Below are 13,633 nucleotides of genomic sequence, written 5' to 3' on the forward strand. Positions count from 1 at the left end.
TTAGGAGAGAGTCTTGAAATCACCTGGAACAAGAAGTTTTTCAAATATTTTAGGTGTTTACAAAATATTTCTATGAGGACAGATAAGGGGGAATGAATTTTGCAAATTAGCATTTGATTTAACCCCCAAAAAAGTACCCCGATGGTTCCCACAGTTGCCTTCTAACATAACAAAAGGTTACATGTGATGGCCAAGGGAAAAGAAAACGTAATTTATCGTTATAAGATGTTAATTTTTTATTCTCCAAAATGTTCAGACTGCAAGGATATTTCATACAGATTTGTTAGCTGGTATTTAAATAATATTCAACACTCCTAAGCCTTAAATAGGCAATTAGAAGTATACTGCATTTTTTTCCCTCCAGCATTTCAAAGACATTACTCAAATTTTGTTTGTTCTTTGTGCTGCAGTGGTCTTACTTGGCAACTCCCTGTCTTGACAGACTTGATTACGGAGCACCTATTTTGTGCATGGTGCTTGCTGGCCACTGAGCATCTGTAAAGAAAATTTTTTCCACGCCTGTAATCTCAGTGCTTTGGGAGGCCAAAGCAGAAGGATCACTCAAGCTAGGAGTTTGAGACCAGCCTGGGAGGTATAGTGAGACCCCATCTCTACAAAGAAATTATCAGGGCATGGTGGGTCATACCTGTGGTCCACGCTCCTTGGGAGGCTGAGGCAGGAGGATCGCTGGAGCCCCAGGAGTTCAAGGCTGCAGTGAGCTTTGATCATGCCACTGCACTCCAGCCTGGTGAGGGTGAGACATTGTCTGAAAAAGAAAATGTACTTTTAAAAATCAGGCCAGGCACAGTGGCTTATGCCTGTAATGCCAACATTTTGGGAGGCTGAGGCAGGCAGATCACCTGAGGTCAGGAGTTTGAGACCAGCCTGACCAACATGGAGAAACCTTGTTTCTTCTATTCTCTACTAAAAATACAAAATTAGCCAGGCGTGGTGGCACATGCCTGTAATCCCAGCTACTCGGGAGGCTGAGGCAGGAGAATCGCTTGAACCCGGGAGGCAGAAGTTGCGGTGAGCCGAGGTCACGCCATTGCACCCAGTGTGTGTGATAAGAGTGAAACTCTGCCTCCAAAAAAAAAAAAAAAAATCAGAGGGACACAGCCACATAAAGGAGACATCCACAGAAGCAATCATAGCACACTAAGGGCCATGAAAGGGGTGCAGTGTCCAAGGGAGCTGGGAAGAGAGGCTGCCTCCTGTGCCACTGAAGGGCAGGCTTCAGCCCTCCAAGCGCTGCTCATAGGCACGGTGGTTTGTGCAGCTTTCATTGTGGCAGGTCTAACTGTATTTCCCAACATCCTCTCTCATCGTTCTCTAACTTTCTCCTTACAATGCCTCATCTTTTGGCGGAAGTGACTTGCATCTCGTATGTTACGGTTCTGTGTTGAGGTCCTGCGTTTTAACTGTGTGAATGATAATTGTCTGGAAAAGCTGGGGGCCCTCGACAGCCATGTTTGCACGTTCTTTAGGAACAAGGGGAGCTTCAGCACACCAGCAGCCTCCACACCCCGCCTCTACCTGCCAACCCCTTGTGAGTCCTTCAGGTTTGTCCACAGCCCTTGTCATCCCTCCTCGTGGTCAATATGCACACATATATATGCTTATTAACTCTCTCCGTTTGCTGGAACCTAAGCTCTTTAGGGCAGGAGCTTTGTTTATTTACTGCTATTATCGCAGCTCCTAGGAGACAGCCTGACCAGGGCATGGGTCTCTCTGTCCCTCCATGTGTCTGGATGTTGTCTAGCCCCACACCAAGCACATGGTAGATGGGCCACATGGCACTGCCTCCCCTTGGTTTGGCGTGGAGGGTAGAGTTGCCTTAGTCAGTCTTTAACTGGCTCTTGGCCATCTTAGTTGACCAAGATGGAGAAGAGAGCAAGAGTAGGGTGAGGCCGGTTGAGGGTAGAGGTTCAGGGGTGCTATTTTGTTCATTTCCTGTGTGAAGAAATTGAGGCTAAAAGAAATGACATGCCCAGGGTCACGTGGCCAGGTGGCTAGGCTGGGGCTGGAGCTGCCTTCGAGTCTGTGCGGTTCCAGTTCATGGAGCACTGTGCAGTTTTCTCCCTGACCTCCATCTGCTTCCTTCTTGTACCCTGGGTGCGGGCCATCCTGAGGAGCGGGGACCTCTCCATCAGCACGTGGGCAGGGTGGGAGCTGAAGTGTAACAGGCATGTCGGCTCCAGCGACACACAGCTTGGACATCCTTACACACCGTTGGTGGGAGCAGCACAGAACTTCGGCTCAGCAGCATGTATCCAGAGCCCCACGAATGCTCATGTTCATGAGCCTGTGTCTCAAAAGCTGCCCCAAAGTCATAATCCTAATTACTGAAAACACACAGAAGTACTGATTTATGGTCATAAATTTGGAATCCTTCTAAGCAGCTGGGAACTGACTAAGCAAACCAAAGCATATTCTGCTCTTTATGATGTTAAAGAAGAAAAGAATCCTATTACTTATCTTCTATGACATATAACACTCAACCCATGGGATGATATCTCACAACCAAATTGCCTCTTTTTTAAGGCTGGGCTTCTGCATATCAGGTTTTCCCATAGCTGAGGACACCAACACACTTTTTCTAACCACATAATGTCAGTAGATAAGAGCAGGGATGTACTTCGAAGCAGCGGCCTGAGTTTGGTGTATTGCTGTACCTTGAGCGGAGTGAAGTGGCCAGGTGCATTCAGGACCCTGGACAAAGCCCCTCGCTGTACTGGCCTAAGGAGCCCACCTTCCCCACTCAGATAGGACACTTTCCTGTGCAGCAGTGGGTCATTTGACTGCATGTGACTTTTCATAGAAACAGCTAAGTTTCTAAAGATGAGAAATGTATGTGATCAAAGAGGGCTCCTACATCTAATTACCTTCCTGATTTAATTGAGTTTTCTGCAAGACGCATTCAGTCTCTCCCCAGCCTGCTCACCCTCACACGTGAAACAGAATCTCTTTTCAATTTAGCAGATCTGAGCACCCAACTTGAGAAATGGTAGTGGCTGATTATGTAAAAAGGGAAGAGGCTGGGGAGAAGCGGGAATCTCTCAAAATGATTTCATTTCCACCTAACAGCGCTGCGCATCGTGCCTTCCCATTTATCGGAGTTCACCGTATTAATTTAAACTTTGTGCTGCTTGCATTCAGCTAAAAATCAGCTAGAGAACAATTTGATTTTTGAGCCTTAACTATAAATTCCTGATATGCATTGCATTCCCAAGCATGCTCCCTTCTGTCACACTCCCCACGGCTTCCCCAGGCTTTCTGCCTCACTTGGCCACTCTGTGTTCCTTCTGTCATCCCTTCAAACTGGATGATGCCATTCGGCACCAGCTGGCCCTCTGGCATGAAAAAAAAAAACTGTTGTAGTGGACAAGAAAGGAGAGATACCAGGAAACGGATGGGGTGCAAAGAAAGTGACAGGAACCAAGAGGAGAGAGCAGAGGAGTATGACCTGGGAGGCGAGAACACAGAGAAGCTTGAGAAGCCCAGGGCTGTCCCACCTGTGGTCAGGAGGAGGCTGGGGGACACCCCTTCAGGGTAGGGCCCCATGAGCAGCTCAAGACTGGGACCTCCTGTGGGTCAGCTGTGTAGAGCCAGATCCTGGTAGGTGGCTGGAGGCCAGACAGCCACGTCCATTTGTTCATCCAGACTCAGCTCATGGCCCAAGTCTCATGATGGCCTTTAGCTTCAGTTTCTGGGGGAACCCAGCCACCCTCCTGTCCCCTCTGACCCTCTCCCCCGTCTCACTAGACCGTATAGTGGACGTTTTAAAATCTTCCTTATTTAATTGCTTTGTAGCATTTAATACAACGACCTCTCCCATTTTTTTTAAACAGCTTTATTCAGATAAAAATCACATAACACACTTCTCCCATTTAACAGGTGCAATGCAGTAGTTTTTAGTATCTCACAGATACCTGCAACCATCACCACAGTCAATCTCAGAACATTTTCATCGTCTCAAAAAGGAAACTCTGTTCTTGAATTGGTGGTCAGAATATGTACTTTTTTCTTTGTAAGGCTTTATAAACATATTTCAGTAATCAAGGTCCTCATCTCAATGGAAGATCAAATTTCCTAAATTCCTACTGACTAGGCTTAATTTAGAGAGATCTCTGGGCGTAATTGAAAATGGCCCAAGTAGGCAATTCTTCTCTCCTGTGTGTTCTCTTGGTTCTGGCTCCTCCTATTGTATTCCTTTCCTCCCCGTTTTTATAACTCAGTCTAACACTGTGTTGTCTTTTCCTTTCGCCAACACCTGTCATCTTCCTGGGCCCCCTGCCGTGTCCCCGCTGCCCCTCTGACATTGTGTACCTCTGTGTGAGCGGCAAAGGGAAAGGGACAATAATGCCAGTCTCTGAAACATCTTCAGAGATGGGGAATTCAAGTCAACCTCCTCCCGCTGAAAGCTCCCGTCAAAAGGACTATGCGAAGGGGTGAGGTTTTGAACCTCACTTCACACTCACCTTTTAACAGAGACCCAGGATGTTGTGATTTCCTTGGATGGCAAAGGTGGCCTGTTCTTTATTTACCGGCCTACACATCTCTGTAAGCTTCAGAAAGAACAGAGCCCTTATTAAAGATCCAAATTAGCTTTATATCGTTGGCCGTGTATCAAAGGAAGTGCGTTTTAATTTACGAGTTCCTACAACGACTTCATCTTGAGTTCACAGGGGGCTTCAGCCCTCAACTGATTTCCTCTCCTGGCACCTACAAATGGGCCTGTCTTTGATAATTTTAAATTATTTTAATACCAAGCAAAAAAGGATTTTTAGTCATGTACCTGACACTGCCAAATAGGTAAATTAAGGTGTGGGTGGAAGTCAGCAGGGGCAGGGGGCCGATACATACGTGCTTAGCATTTTCCTCTCTCTTTTCTTTTGTCTTTCTTTTCCTTTTTTTCCATATAGATGCATGCTTCTTATGAACATGTTTTAAAGCATTTTGTATCTTTAATCAACATGTAGAAAATGAACAGCCAACCCTTCGGGAACCATTGCAGCTCTCCCAGAGTGAGTGTTGCCTGCTCCTAGCAAATTCGTGGCGTGCCCCTCATCAAACTACGTCCCCTGAGGGAGAGTGGTTGGAGGTGTTTCTGGAGGGCCCTGTACTCCCTGAAATCCAGGCTCCAGGGTCAGGGAAGATCTGACCCGGGAGAGGATTAGGGCCCTGCTAACGGCAGCAGTAACAGCGGGAGTCCTTGCAGCAGGGAGGCTTGCAGAGATCAAGTGCACCTACGCCCAGCACCTCCCCCAGCGGACACATTTAGAGACCCTCGGGAGCGCGAGGGATATGAGAATCACAAGCACAGAGACTCATCTCTTGAATATCACCCGGGATATCAAAAACCTATCAGCACACCTGGCGAGGACCCTCACCAAGGCGAGCTCCCTGCAATGGTTCATCAAAAATTGCCCAGCTAATGATCGGCTGGGCAGATAATCGGAGGAGAGTTAATTGTAAGGTTCGATATGGCATCTTGTCAGCAGAGATAAGTTGTCACGTTTTCCACTTGAGCTGAAACTAAATGATTGTAAAATAAGTTATGAGTGTCCTTGGGCCTGTCTGCCGGAATGATAGCTAAGAATACATTCCTGGCCCATCAGTCTCAAGCAGGCTGCTTGATATTTATGCGGACGGAATGTTATTTTATTCCCCCTCTAGTCATGCTTGTCAGCTCTCCGAGTGAAAAGTGAAACTGCTTCTTTGACTCATACTTCACGTTCCGAAGCTCGGAGAGACTGCAGATTGTGATCATTATTGCTCGTATTATATATTTTTTGGGGTGTGCGTTGAACATTGATGCCCGATTGGGAAGAACTAATGGCTGACATTGAATGTGCGGGATGGTGCCGGCCCATCCCGGCTCAGCGCCGCGCAGCTCGGGACCCCAGTCCCTCCGTCAGAGCCGGTTTAGATGTGGAGTAATGAGGCGCTCGCTTTTTTAATTTGGCATGGCTTTTTTCTCTTAGCCTCTCCCCTCCCATACTTAACGCCGTCGACAGTAGTCGTCTGTCCCGGTGCCCGGTAATTGATACAAAATAAAATGCATTCTTTGTATGCAGCCAGGAGGAGCGGATGGCGCTCCGTGGGCCGGCTGGAGCTCATTTACAGTGTCTCAGGCGGGGCTTTCGGGGCCTCTTCAATTTGAGGAATACCTTGTCAGGCGAGGGGAGTAGTTGGAATGGAAAAGCACAGCGTGGAAGCCTAGTGCGTTGTGATTGCTCATATTTTAAACCAGGGGAATGTTAAACAACTCCTTGAAAGCGAGCTCTCGACACCTAGAAGCCAGGGGCATTCATATTCCCGTGGCCGAGCTCAGCGCCCAGTGGACGGGAACCCGGTCCTTCTTGCCATGAGAACACCCAGCCCAGGAGAGGTCAGGGCCTGGCCTCCAGGTGGGTCCTCTCTGGTCGCTCCTCACTGGTCTTGAGTCCCAGGTGACACTTCCTGCCCGACTTCTGTCTCCTGCCACGGCCCCCCTCAATTCACATCCTAATTCACCCCGCCATCACCTTCTCAGCACCATGATGGCCACTCCCTCGTGTAGCCGGTTCCCCTGCTGCTGCAGCCGGGCCCTCCCACAGGCAAGCATCTGGAACTAGCACCAGAGCTTCCTCCTGTCAAAGCTGTGCCACTTTCCCCACTGGCTGCCTGTCCGCTCCTGCCAAACCTGCTCCCACCCGCCCCAGCCCAGAGCATGTGGCTTCTCTAAGGGCTTGAGTGCCTCCCTTTTGGGCCACCGTAGACACCCCACCTCTGAGTGGTCAGGCGCCACTGGTTGTCTCCTTCCAGCAAGAAAGTTGGAGTAAAATGTCCAGGGCCTGGGCTATGGAGTGTTGGAGCATTGCCGTGGCAGGAGAACGCAGTGGGCAGAGACGCACCCTGCCCTGCCTGCAGCATGGCCTGGAAAGTCACTGCCTCAACTCCATGCCTCCAAATGGGGGCGGGGAGGGTGCTTGCGGACCCACCCTGGAGGACCTCGGCCCTGTAAGCAGCAGATCAGAGCGTGGGCTGGTGCTGCTTCCAGGATCACAGGTGCTTTGCACACGTCAGTTACTCGAGTCATAGCCTCCTGAGGACGACTGCAAGGAGCTCATGAATGCTGGCCTGGCTTTCTGTTTCCATTCTTGAGATTGCAGTTGTTTTTATCCCATGACAACCCTGTGTCCTCTGAAAAGCTTGCCTCCTTCTCCCCGCAGTGGCCAGGACAAGGCTCACATTTTTCTGTTCTCTGTCTCCCCAGCCCTCTCCTGGGCTTTCTCCCGGTGCAATGACACCTTCATCTCCCTGTTGGTCCCATTCTCTGGGGTGGCTGGAGGTGGCCTGGGTATGCTCGGTCCAGTGCAGGTGGGCGTGCGGACTCTTCCGTACCTCACTTCTCCCTGCACCTGTGGCCCCTGCTATCGGCGTGCTTACTGGAGATGCGATTCCCCTCTTCCTTCTTTGTTCAGGTAGCAGGGCCCAAGAAAAATCGTCTTTTATGGAAGGCATCAAGCAAGAAATTTGATAGGCATTCTCTTCACTCTAGAAATCAGCCCCGTGGGACAGGGGTCTTGCCCTTTATTCTCTGACAGCGGCCAGCTCCTAGGGCACGCTTGGTGCGTGGGGACACTCAACAGGGAGATGCTTTCTCTGTGTCAATAGACTTCACTCATGGACTCAGTCGTTCGCCTAAAAATAGATTCCAAATGGTTGGAAACTCATAGGACAGTGGTTTGGCACAAAAGCGTGCTTGTGGCTGGTTTTAAAACTAAGTCGCGAAATTGATACACTGCTGTGTGATACACCAGAAAGTGGTCCGTTCCATCCACCCGCGCAAGTGTCTGTCACACAGAGGTTAGTTCTTTCATAAAACTTTATTACGTATCGAACCCCATTACTCATCCTGAATCTGTTTCAGGAAGGATGTGTGCTGGTGAAGAGGATGAGCGAAGGCCTGCCTTCCTGAAGCTCGAGCGCTCATAGGGAAGATGTTCCGTAAACAAAGAAACACGCATGGAGCATGTCATGTCCCCATGTGGAGAGAGCCACGGAGCACAGGGGGCCGGGAGGGGCTGGATGCGCCAGTGGCCAGCTTGGGGAAGGCCTCTCTTGGGGCTTCCTCCTTTGGCTCCTGGAGTCTAAAACTTCCTGGTGTCCCTTCTGCCTGCCTAGCAGAACCCCTCCACACGGCTCCCCGTCTAAGGCGGCAGGGATGAGCTGTGTGGATGCTGCTGAGACTGGTGTGACTGCTTTGAGCCTTGTCCACTGATGCAGCACCTGCAGGGTGCCGCCGGCCCCAGCAAGGACACACCAGTGGTTGGTGGGATGTGAGCGGGACTGGAGTGAGGCCAGCCGTGGACAGCAGTGCAGAGGGACAGGCCCTAGGGAGTTGTGCTTTAAAGAAGGGCAGGAGTCAAATGTCCAGGGTGGAGGTGTGCGGCCAAGGGAGAGTTGTGTTAAAAATGTGAGATGACAGGGCCGGGCGTGGTGGCTCATGCCTATAATCCCAGCACTTTGGGAGGCCAAGGCGGATGGATCATGAGGTCAAGAGATCGAGACCATCCTGGCCAACATGTTGAAACCCGTCTCTACTAAAAATACGAAAATTAGCTGGGCGTGGTGCAGGAGAATCTCTTGAACCCAGGAGGCAGAGGTGGCAGTGAGCCGAGATCACGCCACTGCACTACAGCCTGGTGACAGAGCAAGACTTCGTCACACACACGCACAAAAAAGTGAGATGACAGCTCATGTTTAGTGCCGGGTGCTGGGTGAGCGAGGGTGGGTGAGCATCCATTTCCCAGGGGAGGGGCCCCGCGCCCATGGAGACTGCTGGGGACAGGCTGGGGCAGGGCGGGGTGGAGGGTGTCCTCTTCTGATGGATGCTTTTGGTTTTTGGTTTTGTTTTGTTTTGTTTTGTTTTGTTTTGTTTTGTTTCAGTGAAGTGAAAAGTGAGGTCATCGTGAGGATGGTGTGGGGCGTGGGGTGTTTGAAGCGGGAGGAGAAGCTTTGAAATAGCCCCTTGGAGAGTGGGAAGTGGGTTACTACAGAAGTGAGGTAGGATTGAAGGGCAGGCCAGAGGCCACTGAGGGGTACACTGACCACACAGAGGAGGCCGGTGTGCATGGCACCACCCTCTCCCAGCCCTGGCCCATGACGGTGCTGAGCAGGTGGAGGGCTGGAAGTCAGTGAAGTTGGGGCTTCCTACTCAGGAGAGATGGTGGGAGAAGGGAAACTTACAAGGGTGAGTTTCAAGTCGTGTGCGATGCTGCCCGGCTGTATAAGAAAAACCGTGGGATGTGAGCGGGTTGGACGTCAGATGGCATGGAACTCAGGGCATAGAGGAGCCACGGGAGTGAAGGCCTAGTGAGCTGGGGAGGCAGGGGTGGGGGTGGCAGTTAGACCCTAGAAACTGTGGTTCTTGCTGGTAGCAAGCCTGGGTGAGACCATGAGAGAGGGTGTCTGAGGTCCAGGGCAGAAGAGATTCATGAGGGTGGAGTGGCACAGAGGCCAGGGTGCTGGAGAGGACACCCAGGAGGCTGAGATGCAGACAGACCAAAATTCCAAAGGAGGTGTGTGCGAGAGGTTGAAAACTAGAAGCTCTGGTTGAAATTCCATGGGGTTTCTCGCTATTGATATTTTAGGTATTTGAGACTGTTCTTTGTGGCAGGGGCTGTCCTGTGCATTGTAGGGCATTTTTCAGCACCTCTGGCTTCTACCATCTGATGCCTGTAGCACCTCCACTCCACCCAGTTTGATACCCAGAAACGTCTCCAGCCATTGCCAGAGGTCCTGGGTGGGGGTTCCTGGAGAACCGGTGGATCTGTGGGAATCCAGAGTCCCATGGGGCTAGAAGTGCTCGTGTGGAAGGACACAAAAGGAAAACGTGGATGTGGAGGAAATGCTGATGGGTTGGCTGTGGTGGTCTCTTAGAGGAAGGTGGGTGGTGGTATTTCCAAGTGCTGTCTCCTTCCCAAGACTGCCACTTAGCTGCTTCCTCCAGGTGAGTCCGGGATTTCTCGGACTCACCAAGAGAATTATAAATATTGCAAGATATGGAGAAAGCTTAGAAATGAGAGGGCCCTGTCCCTGTCAACTGTTTTGCAAAAAGTTTTCTACAGCTAAAAGTGGGAAGGGGCCTAGAAACAGACGTGCCATTTTGATTTCCAGAAACGTGAATTCTGAGCTAGATGCCAGTGAGTCAGGTCACAACCAGGTGGGATTCTGAATTCAGTTGTTAAAGGGCTGCTTTGTGTGCACATAGAAAAGGAAACAGATGTATTTGAACAGAGGTAGTTTATTAAAGAGAATGAATAGACATCAAATAGATGGCCCTTTATCGTTTTCAGTTGTCAAAAATACGTGTGAGTTGGGTACCATATAGCCCTCAGCAGAGTATTTGACAAGATTTTTCCTTGGTTTCCTCATAGGCAAGTTGAAAGATATGTGAGCTGAACACAAAGACAGTGTAATTTATCTAGGCTCAGTGGTCACTCTTAGAATCTTCCAGGAGCGGATGGTGCATGTTAAGGTGGGAAGCTCTATCTTGACTCCACCCTGTTCACCATCTTTTTCATTGATGTGGATGGATATATGGGAGTATATGCTCAGAACGGTCAAGCATAACTAAGGCGATAGTGAAGAGTAACAACACATAGGCTTAGAACACAGAGACATAGAGTGGTGGCCTGGAATAGAGAGCCTAGCGGTAGACCTACCACGCCCCTGTGGAAGCCTGTCGTGTGGACGGCATAGCTAATGTGTGTGTTCTGAGTGTCTTCGAAATAGCGGTGTACACTCATAAAAACAACCGCTGGATAACGGAAGAGAGTTTATGATATAATGCACCTACTGTAGGCTCAGCATTGCACAAGTCACCACAGGGGAGGCGAGCACTGGTGGTTGCCCTGGGCACAGGCATGCTAGTTAGATTGAGATAAGCGACTGGCAGCCTCGTGCAGAAGGTCCTAACTGTGGGCTCCGTGGGAGTGTAGAGATGAGAAATGTTAGTTTGGGAGAGAGTGTTACAAACACAGAGTGACAGAGGGAAGGACGCACAGTTGGGGATGAACATGGCCTGTCGAAATGAGAGGACACCCAAGGGACAGAGTAAAATAATATGATTTTAATATAATAATATTACTTAATAGCGGCCCCTGGCAGCCGAGGAGAGTTGCGTTTGCCTGTTCTGCTTATCTCCCTGCAGGACTAGGGTTGAGCTCTCTGAGGGCAAAGACAGTCACAGTGACCATTGTTTCCCATGGCCTGGCACCATACCTGGCAAAGTGGGCTCCTAACACTGAATAGAGAGGATGGGATGGTAAAGACTTGGGAACCCTGGGCAGAAAATATTTAAAATGAGCAAAAAGATTGCCTGCCTGGTTTGAGCATTGAATAACACAGAGAAGGGTTGCTTTAGAATCAGGTAATGATCTTGGGGTCTCTGGATGCCCCACCCCCTGAACGTTATGAGGCTTCTGAACACTGTTAAATCATAAATAAAAATTAATTAGGCTCGCCCTTTTTTTTCCAAGATATCTATAGCTTTTATCTGATATTCAGTGGAATCTAGTATTTCAGAAATACATATAAGAACCACTACTTTAGAAATATCAGTATTGTAAAATCATGGGACAGCTTAAAAGGTGAAAGTCTGGGAGGAGAAGGACCTCGTGGAGCTGGCCGCACAGTCTAGGCTTGGGGGTAAGGTAAGAACTGGACCAGGGGTACGTGGTGCTTAAATGGAGAGCAGGCAGTCATGGAGCGGCTTTGTGAAAACAGGCTGAGCTCGAGGTCCCAGGCTGCTCAAGGCAAGGGAAGTGTCTTATTTAAACCTGCCCGCTCCCACCTCTGCAGTTCCACCACAACCAAACTGTCATAGTGCAGGCTCAGGGGGTCTCAGGACTGCTGGCTACACCTCGGGTACAGTTAACCAAGGAGGTTTACCAGATGTCCACCGTGGAAAGCAAGTGTTGGGCAGAAGTGGCAGGGAAGTGGCAGTTTCAAGGGTGAAGCCCAAGGTGATAGCAGAGAAAGCTGCCCGGAATGCAAAGGTCAGAGTGAGTGCTGTTTCTTGGGAGCCGGCTGCCGGGAAGAGAGGGTCAGGTAGAGCCAAGCCTGGAACTGGTGTTGGTGTCATGCACATGGAGAATGCCCCTGTGGACGTAGGGAGGAGAGGCAGGAAAACATGGCATCTTGGGCCAGCACAGTTAGCATGATAAGGGAAAGGAAGTCTTACGGGGGCGAAGGAAGGCACAGTGAAACAGTGTGCCGTTTTGAAGAAGCAATGGTGAAGGAAGCCAGACTTCAAGGAGTCAGGAAGAAACACAGTGGATTTAAACCCTCTATCTGGATAGGAACCTTGTCTGGAGAGGTCTGCAGCGGTTTTGAGCAGACCTGACCGAGCTCTGTGACTTCAGCAAGTTACTTAACCTTCCCCTGTGCCTTGGTTTTCTAATCTGTAAAGTGGAGGTGGTAGGGATACCACGTGCCTCAGCGGATTGCTTAAGAGTCCTGAACGCATTGCTGAAGGTAGAGCCTGGAATAGCCCCTGTTGGGTAGTAACTTTGGATGAGTGTTTGCTGTTGAGACTGTGGCTTCAAGGGTTAAGGAAATAACCCTTTAAGGAATAATGGGGTTTAGGAAAGTGGGCATGAAAGATCTTGGGACCTCTGAGGACAGAAGTGACGCAGTGGAGAGGGAGGAATGAGTGGAAGTGACCTGGCCAAGACACCTGAGGATGAAAGATGGGACCAGGACAAGCTAGGAATGTTCATTTAGCAAGAGAGGGGAGCCCATTCCTCTAGGGATGGAGAGAGGGGAGTCCGTTCCTCTGGGGATGGAGAGAGGGAGCCCTTTCCTCTGGGGATGGAGGAGAGGGGAGCCTTTTCCTCTGGGGATGGAGGAGAGGGGAGCCCGTTCCTCTGGGGATGGAGGAGAGGGGAGCCCGTTCCTCTGGGGATGGAGGAGAGGGGAGCCCTTTCCTCTGGGGATGGAGGAGAGGGGAGCTCGTTCCTCTGGGGATGGAGGAGAGGGGAGTCTGTTCCTCTAAGGATGGAGGAGAGGGGAGCCCATTTCTCTAGGGATGGAGAGAGGGGAGTCCGTTCCTCTGGGGATGGAGGAGAGGGGGGCCTGTTCCTCTGGGGATGGAGAAGAGGGGGGCCTGTTCCTCTGGGGATGGAGAGAGGGGAGCCTGTTCCTCTAAGGATGGAGGAGAGGGCGAGAAGGCCAGTAGAGGAGCCGTGATGGTGGAGTCACAACAGAGGCACCCCAGGAAGCTGACAGCCAGATTTCTGCCATTGATGTTACCTCTCACCTACCACCAGGGGACAGTGACCTGTCCGTGTGCCTCTGCATCTAAGGATGTGCGTCCATAGGAAGCACCTCCTGCCTGGTAGAGGGAAAGTTGCTGAGACACCGAATTGCCACATTTCTCGCAACTCCTTAAAGTGGTGAAGGGAACTTCCGCCTTTTGTGAGTGAGTGACCACCCACAAGGAGTGCACATGGTTGACACAGTCTCAGGTGTCTCATGGTGTCCAGTGCTGCCTGGGCTGCCCTGCAGGAGCCCTGGGGTGGCCCTTCACCCTCTTCGCAGGAGGAGCTCCCCACAGCCCTCTTCTTCCATGTGTAAAGGG

General features: G+C 50.5%; 1 protein-coding gene across 4 annotated transcripts in view, besides 1 other annotated feature; it reads left to right on the top strand.

Moving 5' to 3' along the window:
- Positions 1-13,633, top strand: part of AGAP1 (ArfGAP with GTPase domain, ankyrin repeat and PH domain 1) — a 637,751-nt gene that overhangs the window by 459,109 nt on the left and 165,009 nt on the right. The gene's annotated exons all lie outside the window — the stretch shown is intronic.
- Positions 1,675-2,175: an enhancer, noted in NCBI's record as "H3K4me1 hESC enhancer chr2:236863470-236863970 (GRCh37/hg19 assembly coordinates)". NCBI's record gives its function as "activates a minimal SCP1, AML or CMV promoter by ChIP-STARR-seq in primed H9 embryonic stem cells {active_cell/tissue: H9 hESC(primed)}" and the evidence as "EXISTENCE:reporter gene assay evidence [ECO:0000049][PMID:30033119]".

The sequence above is a fragment of the Homo sapiens genome, chromosome 2, assembly GCF_000001405.40.
Source record: "Homo sapiens chromosome 2, GRCh38.p14 Primary Assembly".
Taxonomy (NCBI): Eukaryota; Metazoa; Chordata; class Mammalia; order Primates; family Hominidae; genus Homo; species Homo sapiens.